Below are 9,014 nucleotides of genomic sequence, written 5' to 3' on the forward strand. Positions count from 1 at the left end.
CTCTCCCTTTGGGCTGAAACACAATATGTAAAAACACATTTACATTTACTTTGTTTTCTAAAAAAATTATTTTTCCATTACCTTCAAACACCAGATTCAGCAAAAGATGCTCTGTATTTATGTTTTTGTGTGCAATTAAAATATACCAAATCATGAGGCCGGGCGTGGTGGCTCATGCCTGTAATCCCCACACTTTGGGAGGCCGAGGCGGGTGGATAACGAGGTCAGGAGATCGAGACCATCCTGGCTAACATGGTGAAACCCCGTCTCTACTAAAACTACAAAAAATTAGCCGGGCATGGTGGCGGGTGCCTGTAGTCCAGCTACTCAGGAGGCTGAGGCAGGAGAATGGCGTGAACCCAAGAGGCGGAACTTGCAGTGAGCTGAGATCGCGCCACTGCACTCCAGCCTGGGCGATAGGGGGAGACTCCTCTCAAAAAATAAAATAAAATAATAAAATATTACCAAATCATTTTAGGATCTTACTGCAAATAAAACTTGTGCCCTTCAGTTCCAGCTGACTTAACTCTTTCATATATTTCACACTAGTAGCCTCTCTACCCAGTAAAATGCTTTGGGAACTCCTACCATCCCCACCATCTGAAGTTTGGTATATTTGAAAAACTCTCCCATTTATAATTTCTGTAAAACTTTTGAAAAAATATTAATCAGTGAAAAATCAAACTCAATGATCAAATGGGAAAAAGCATATCCTGGTATGAAATACGTTTTTGCTGGCAGATTTTTCTTCTCATTCTTGAGTAGCTTGTGTGGTCTGTTAACGACCTTACCCTCCATTTTCTGAAGGAAAGTTCAGAGGTTGTATTTCTGTTCTTTTTACCTTTTATGGTTTCCCAACATTATCTCATTTGGTAAAAGAAAAATATACCAGAAAAAAACTATTACCATAACAAGCAAAAAGCTACCTGCCAAACTCTTTCCTTCTCTGATCACAAAAGCAGAGAGCCCAAGATAAACAACAACCATGACTACTGACCAAGGAAAATACATTTTTTTCATAATTTTTGAAAAAATTGAAGTACCTCACTGTCTTTTTTTCAACAATACAATCTAGTAATGAGAATGTTACCTTAAATGTACAGAAAGCCATTCTTCATAAGAGCTAAAAGAGTATTTTGTGTTTGAACAATTCCTTCCATCTTCCAGGGAAGCCAGGAAACGACTTTGCTCTAAGGAGTTGCCATGTACTCCTGTACTCCACAGAACAGAGCAACCAAGGATCTAAATGGAGAATCAGTCTTCACAATGGCACTTCTGTTATGGATAATCATAACTTGCTTGTGTTTTACGGAACCCTTAATCAATCCCCAAAATAGACTTCTGACCAACCTGACTCTCCATTTCCCTGCTATGGAAACATATCTGTTCTGGTATTTACTCAGTTTGAAATCACATTTCCTTTATTCAAATGCTATGGGATTTAAAAGAATGTTCAACATCCCAATTGCCACAAGGAGTTTTAATAAAGTATCATATATTTAAAGGTTATTTACATCATTTTTCAGATTTTATAAAAGCAATAATAACAATGACTTATATTTGTTGAGCACTTGCTAGGCAGTCAAGCATTTTTCTTAGTGTCATATGGATTAACTCAATAATCATCAAGATAAACCTGTAATCTAAGATGTTCTTATTATCCCCATTTTACACATGAGAAACTGAGTCATAGTAAATGCAAACAGCCCCCAGATCACCCAAACAGTAATGGACAGAGACACTAGCAAAACTCAGCCCACACCTCCTCTCTGCCATAGGATGTCCAGGTCCTTTGAAAGGGAATCATCCACAGCTGCCTTAGTCAACACTGGCATCCAATTATCCAGCCTGAACCTTGCACCTAGGAGTACAGAGATGGAGTATCCTCAGATTAAAGTCTCAGGAGCATCAGGAGTTCTCATTCCCACATGGTCATGTGGTTTTCTAAAATGTGATCAATTAAATGATTTTAGCTGCAGTTAAAACTTTCTCCAACTTTCTTTATATCACATATTCCCTGGAGGTAGGTGATGTTGGAATGGCTATGGGCATCTCTGGGAGGTTCTAAGGGGAAACTGAGATTGGGATAGATTTAGTTTAGGTTTAGAGAAATGCATGCATGTGGCTTGCAGACACTGCCACGTGCAGTAAAGTTTCTGTGGGCCATCTTGCAGTAGCACGGGAGTCCTCAACGTCCATGTGTCATGTCATTAATGTGCTGATGTGAAGAGGCAAGATCAGAGGCGCTGTCCTCCAGAGCATGGCCCCTGAAGTACGTGAACGGTAAAGCTAGTCTGTGGAGTTAATTATCCTAATCTCTTAGCTCATACATGAATGAAAGTTGATAGGAGTGTTCCAAAATTTGACAAAAATACCAAATATTTACATGTGATTATACATAACAAGCTGTAATTGATACAAATAAAAAACACACATTTACATCTGATTATACATAACAAGCTGTAATTGATATAAATAAATCAACCTTAATTAACAATTATTTTCTATTCAGGCAATAAAAAAAGGCTATCATATGATAGAAAAGTCAAAGTATACACAAATAAGAAACATAATAAAGACATGTCTGGCAGTTAACACAAATATTGTTATTCCTTGAAATTATTAGATATATAGTTTCTATCAGATTTTTTAAAGTGAAGTTTGTTGTGATTTCTTTTCCAAAACTAAAATCCACATTTCTACTGGACTTTTTTAGTGTTCATTTTATATTTCTTTTCTTTCAAAAGGCTGTCTGAATTAAGCTTCAGATACTTTAAAAATGACCTATCCCTATGAGTATGGGCTAAAAAATGTATGTGTCAGAAGTTGAGTCAAAATGACTAGAAGTTCATGAAAAATGTTGCTCTAAATTCAGAATCAGGCCTGCCTTAGTCAGTCCAGACTGCTATAACAAAATACCATAGACTTCTTTGGGAGGCTGAGGCTGGCAGATCACAAGGTCATGAGTTAGAGACCATCCTGGCCAACATGGTGAAACCCTGTCTCTACTAAAAATACAAAAATTAGCTGGGCGTAGTGGCATGTGCATGTAATCCCAGCTACGTGGGAGGCTGAGGCAGGAGAATCACCTGGATCAGGGAGTCAGAGGTTGCAGTGAGCTGAGATCGTGCCATTGCATTCCAGCCTGGTGACAGAGCGAGACTGCATCTCAAAAAAAAAACACAAAGAATAAAAACAACAACAACAAAAACATAGATTTAACAAAATACCATGACTTAAACAGCACTTAATTCTCACAGTTCTGGAGAGTGGGAAGTCCAAAATGAAGCGCCTGGCAGATGGTGTCTGGTGAGAGCTCATTTCCTGCCTTGTGGAGGGCCATCCTCTCACCGTGTCCTCCCATGATGGAGAGCAGAGAGAGCTCCTGGAGCATCTTCTATAAGGGCTGCACCATCCTGACCTAATCACCTTCCAGGTCTCACCTCTTAATACTATAACCTTGGGGGTAAAATTCAACACGTGAATTTGTGGGAGACATAAGCACCCAGTCCATAACTGAGCCTCTCCAGCTGGCACACTTACTTGTGAGTGTGTATTCCCCGGGCCCACTGGGCAAATGTGAGCAGCTCATAGATTCAGAATGGAGCCCCTCAAGCTGCTGTCCTTACCTGTGCAAGTGTGCACACCTGGTGAGCCCTTCTCTCTGTCCCTTGCCCACTGAGCAAATATCTCCCGAGCACCTTCTAGGTATAGGGCTCTCAGCAGGCCCAAGGAAGGGCAATCAAAGAAAGACAGAGGCTGTCCTTGCCTCCTCAGGCTTAGGGTATAAAGGACAGGACTTTCATCACAGGATCACACAGAGAAATACTGATAGCCTCAAGGATTGCTGGGAAGGAAAGGTGCCCAGGGCGCTGTAGCGGAGCCCCTTTCTTTTTGGCAACTTTCTCTTCTCTTGAGGAACTTTCTCTTCTCTTGAGGAAGTTACTTAATTACCAGAGCGCAGACTGATTCTCCACCTATCTGTCTTTCAGGCTCTCTCTACCGCTGTGTCTCTACCTGTGTCTCTCTCTCTGTTTTATTCTCTCCATTCCCCTCTCCTTCCCTTTTTCTCTCCCTCAGGCTGACATTTTAAAGGACTTCAGATGACTTTAAACACTTTAGGGAACAGGTGTTCAGACTGTGATAGGAAAGTTTTGATTTAGCCTTAAGCAGCCTTGACTTTGCTGTGTGACTTTACAGATGTCACCAAGTGATCTTCATTCTTACAGAGGACAGTCACGCCTTACTTCGCAACCCACATGGGCTATTACAAGGATTCCATTCCTTAAGAGATAACGTGTGCTTTAAAAGATTTAAATCTATCTATCTATCAATCAATCATTATATATTATAGTTAGTACTATCAAGGGCATGTGGAAATTTTAAAAATTTTTCTCTTCAAAAAATTTAAAAAGAAAATAATAAGCTAAATGTTTTAGAGAAAATGAATACATACCACAAGAGTGTGGGAGAAAACATTTCAGAATATGTGATCTTAATTATCTTAAACCATTAAAATGTGAAACATTCCAAAGACCTAACCCCATCTCAAAGAGCAAACTGTTCAGGAAATTACTGTCAGCTCCAGCGTGACCCCATCACTCTGCCCCGGGCTTCCTGTGGTGGCATAACTCTAACCACATTCTGTTATGTTTAATTCTTAGGGTCTCATTTTTTCTAATTATATTGAGAATTTTCTGAGAGCAGGGAATTGAATCCTTTTCCTATTTGCATTATCACTGTAACTCATGAATTTTAAAATGTTTATGGATTTGAACTGACTGTCTGCCACTCCTTGGTACACCCCTAGTTAGAAGCAGTGAGCTTTCCAGCATCTTTTTCCCATATAGCCATTATATTCGTCCTCTGGGGCTGCTGTAACAAAATACCACAGACTGGATGGTTTAACAATAGACATGTTTTCACAATTCTGGATGTTGGAAGTCCACAATCTAGATGCCAGCAAGTTAAGTTTCTTGCGAGGGGACTCTTACTGGCCTGAAAAATGCCACCTTCTCTCTCTGTCCTCTTGTCATCTTTCCTCAGCACAGGGAGAGACAGGGAGGGGCATGAATGAGTGAAAAAGCACAAACAAGCTCTCTTGTGTCTCTTCTTATAAGGAAATTAATCCTATTGGTTCAGGGTTCTACCCTGATGTTCTAATTTGACCTCAGTTTATTCCTCTGAGGTCCCATCTCTGAATACAGCCACACTAGGGATTAGGGCTTTCACATATATATGTGGAGGGTGGGAGCACAAATTTCCAGCCCATAACAGCTAAGCTGGCCAAACCAGATGTAAGATTATATTTTCAGTTCACATCGAGACTTGCCTGTGTGCCTCCATTTGTACTGCTCCAGGCACTTGGATGACACAAGTTGGTTTACAAATTTTCCCAGATTTATTCAGGTCAAAATGCCACCACTCAGAGGCAGAGCCAGACAAAAACCTTATAATTGCTGAGGGCTGGTCTTGCACCAAGCATTTGGCCTTTTTTTTTTTTTTCTGTATTATTCTTTCCTTAAGACAACTTCAGTTCCTCTCCCTGTCTGTAACCACAGATTCACATTTCCCAGGTGTTGCCCTATGCTGTCCCCAGTGAGGTCCAGAGCTTCTCCTGGGAGGTTGAACAGATGGATAATGCCCGGCCTGGCCCCAGCTTAGAGGATGCCTCTCAAGAGCATCAATGCATGCATCATTATTTTGCAGTCATTCATCTGTTCCCCAGATTAGAGCTGGGTTTCAGGGAACCTTTTAGTTATTTCCCTTGGTCTTCTCTGGCATAAACACCACTGTGCTCTCAGCAGATTTGGCCACCCTAAAATCTGTCACTTCTGCCTGGTCATTAGAGAAGGAATTGATACAATCAGTCTTCCTTAACCAGTAGCTCTAACTGCTAACCTTTATACTCTAGGAGCTGGTTGTTGACTAGAACAATGCTTCCCTCTCGTAGACCTTTGTAAAATAAATAGCTGTTCTTGCCTACCACTCTATCTATGGGTCGCATCTTTTGTCTCTTGTGAGGGAGTTAACAAAAACCTTTCAAATCTAGAAAATATTGCATGTCTAAATAAATCATGTCTCCTGAGCTTTCTTTAGTGACTACTGTGTCAATTTCAAAAGTTCAGTGATATATTAATATTATAAAAGTCAGCACTTACAATTTTTCTATTTGTATTAAATCTCTATTGGCTAAAGATTTACTTGATATTCTTTCTTTCTTAGTTTCTTCTTGTTTCTCCTGACTTGTTGTTGTTGTTGTTGTTGTTGTTGTTGTTGAGAGGGAGTCTCACTGTCTCCCAGGCTGGAGTGCAGTGTCTTGATCTTGGCTCACTGCAAGCTCCTCCTCCTGGGTTCACGCCATTCTCCTGCCGAAGCCTCCTGAATAGCTGGGACTACAGGCGCCCGCCACCATGCCCAGCTAATTTTTTGTATTTTTAGTAGAGACGGGGTTTCACCAGGATGGTCTCCATCTCCTGACCTTGTGATCCGCCTGCCTCAGCCTCCCAAAGTGCTGGAATTACAGGCATAAGCCACAGCGCCTGGCCTCCTCCTGACGTTTTTGAGATCAAGAGAAACCATATCCACTGGATTCACACTCTTTGGACTGTACTTTTTTTTTTTTGAGATGAAATCTTGCTCTTGTCTCCTAGGCTGGAGTGCGATGGTGCAATCAGCTCACAGCAACATGTGCCTCCCGGGTTCAAGCAATTCTCTTGCCTCAGCCTCCCGAGTAGCTGAGATTACAGGCACCTGCCACCACGCCTGGCTAATTTTTGTATTTTTTTTAGTAGAGACGGTGTTTCACCCTGTTGGCCAGGCTGGTCTTGAACTCCTGACTTCAGGTGATCCGCCTGCCTTGGCCTCCTTAAGTGCTGGGATTACAGGTGTGAGCCACTGCACCCAGCCTGTCTTTTTTATTAAGCATTGCATTTCTCACTGATTTTGCAGTTCTTGAACAAAAATCAGTGAGTGACATCTTTGGATGCCCTTCAACAGGATCTGTAGAACAATTACCAGGAATTCCATGTTTGGCCTTAGTGTTTATTAATAAAATAATGTCTGTACTCTAAATGGACATCTGGTCACCCTAGCACATTGATCTGGACATTTTGCAGACCTGCTCTTGAGCCTGATTTTGTCTACAATGATGAGAAACTGTCCTGGGGCCAAATTAAAGAAATCCCATTGATTTTCTTACCCAAGGACATGAAGTTCACAATTCATTAAAATACTAAGTACTGTGAGCTACAAAATTAGAAAATATTCATCAGATTTTAGCTGAGCTCAAATTACCTCTCTCTGGCCTATGTGTCATGTAAACTCGTCTAGAAGACAGTGACTTTGGCATGTAGCTGCCCTTAGGACAGATATAGAATGAGGATTATGGAATACCATCTCTTCCTGCAGTCTCTGTCTCTGATAGAGATAGCATGGCTGATTCCACATTATGCTGTCACAGCTGGAAAAGATGTAGAAATAGACACACACATGCTGAGCCTCTCTAGAAGGGGTTGCTGTCCATGATTGAAGCCTCCAGAGGAGGCAGCTCAGGTTTGTTTGCTAATCAGAGTGAACAGTAATTGTCCCATGGCTTCCCATATGTCCTGACTTGGCAGCACTTGAGCACAGGTCTCACAAGTCATGAATGGCACAAGTGAACCCTTGGTCAAGCATGATCCTCCCAGGAGTAGTTAATATTCTTGAGATAGTATTTCTTCCAAAATTGATTTACAGATTCAATGCAACCTTTTTCAAAATCTCAGTAATATCCTTGCAAAAATTGACAAGCTGATCAAAAAAGTCACATAGAAATGCAAAGACCTAGAATAGACAAAACAATTTTGAAAAATAAAAACAAAATGGAAGGACTGTCTTAGTTTGTTTTGTGTTGCTATGACAGAATACCTGAGGCTGGGTAACCTATTTTTAAATATGTTTATTTAGCTCAAGATTCTGCAGGCTGAAATGTACAAGAAGTATGGTGCCAGTATCTGCTCAGCTTCTGGTGGGGGCCACGTGGTAGATCAAAACTTCTCAAAGAAAGTCAAAGGGGAAGTGGACACATGCAAAGAAATAAAACTAAAGGAATGTCCTGCCATTGTAACAACCCATGCTCCTGAGAACTAATTCATTTCCATGAGAATTAACAGTCTCATTGGAACGAAAACTCACTCACTACTAAGAGAACACCATCAAATTATTCATAAAAGATCTGCTCCTATGATCCAAACACCTCCCACTAGGCTCCACCTCCTGACATGGGTACATTGGAGGTCAAAATTCAACATGAGTTTTGATGAGGAAAAATAAAGCATATCCAAACCATAGGAAGGACTCACATTTTCTGATTTCAAAACTTGCCATGAAGCTATGGTAATCACAACAGCATGCCACTGAGATAAAGATAAACATATAGATCAATATAATAGAATTGAGACTCCAAAGATAATCCCTCACACTTACAGTCAATTGATGTTTGACAAGGATGTCAAAACAATTCAATGGAGAAAGAGCAATCTTTTTTCTTTCAAATAGTGCTGGGGAAACTAGATATTCTGTATAGTATACAAAAGAACAAAGCTGAACCTTCATCTCACACCATATGAAAAATCAACTCACATGTTATAAAGACTTAAATGTAAGAGCTAAAGCTATAAAACTCTTGGACAAAAGCACGGGTGTAAATCTTTATGATTTGGATTAGACAATGGTTTCTGAGACATGACATTTAAAGCTCAAGTAACCAAAAAGTTAAATATATTAGACTTTTTCAAAATTAAAAAACTTTTGTGTTTCAAAGTATAATATCAGTAAAGTGAAAAAAATTCCACATAAGAGAAGAAAGTATTTGCAAATCATGTATCTGACAAAGACCTGGTATCTAGGATAGATAAAGAAGTCTTATCATTAAAAAATAAAGGAAAATAACACAATTTAAAAATGGGTAAATGATTTGAATATATATTCCTTTTTTTATTCTTGCTATTTTTAAAAAATAATTTCAACTTTTA

At 40.0% G+C, this 9,014-nt stretch overlaps 1 annotated feature.

The window, feature by feature from the left end:
* Window positions 2,399–3,598: an enhancer, noted in NCBI's record as "MED14-independent group 3 enhancer chr5:9013731-9014930 (GRCh37/hg19 assembly coordinates)". NCBI's record gives its function as "activates an origin of replication core promoter dependent on BRD2, BRD4, P300/CBP and CDK7 cofactors, and independent of MED14, by STARR-seq in HCT116 cells {active_cell/tissue: HCT116}" and the evidence as "EXISTENCE:reporter gene assay evidence [ECO:0000049][PMID:35650434]".

Source organism: Homo sapiens, chromosome 5 (genome assembly GCF_000001405.40).
Source record: "Homo sapiens chromosome 5, GRCh38.p14 Primary Assembly".
In the NCBI taxonomy this organism is placed as follows: domain Eukaryota; kingdom Metazoa; phylum Chordata; class Mammalia; order Primates; family Hominidae; genus Homo; species Homo sapiens.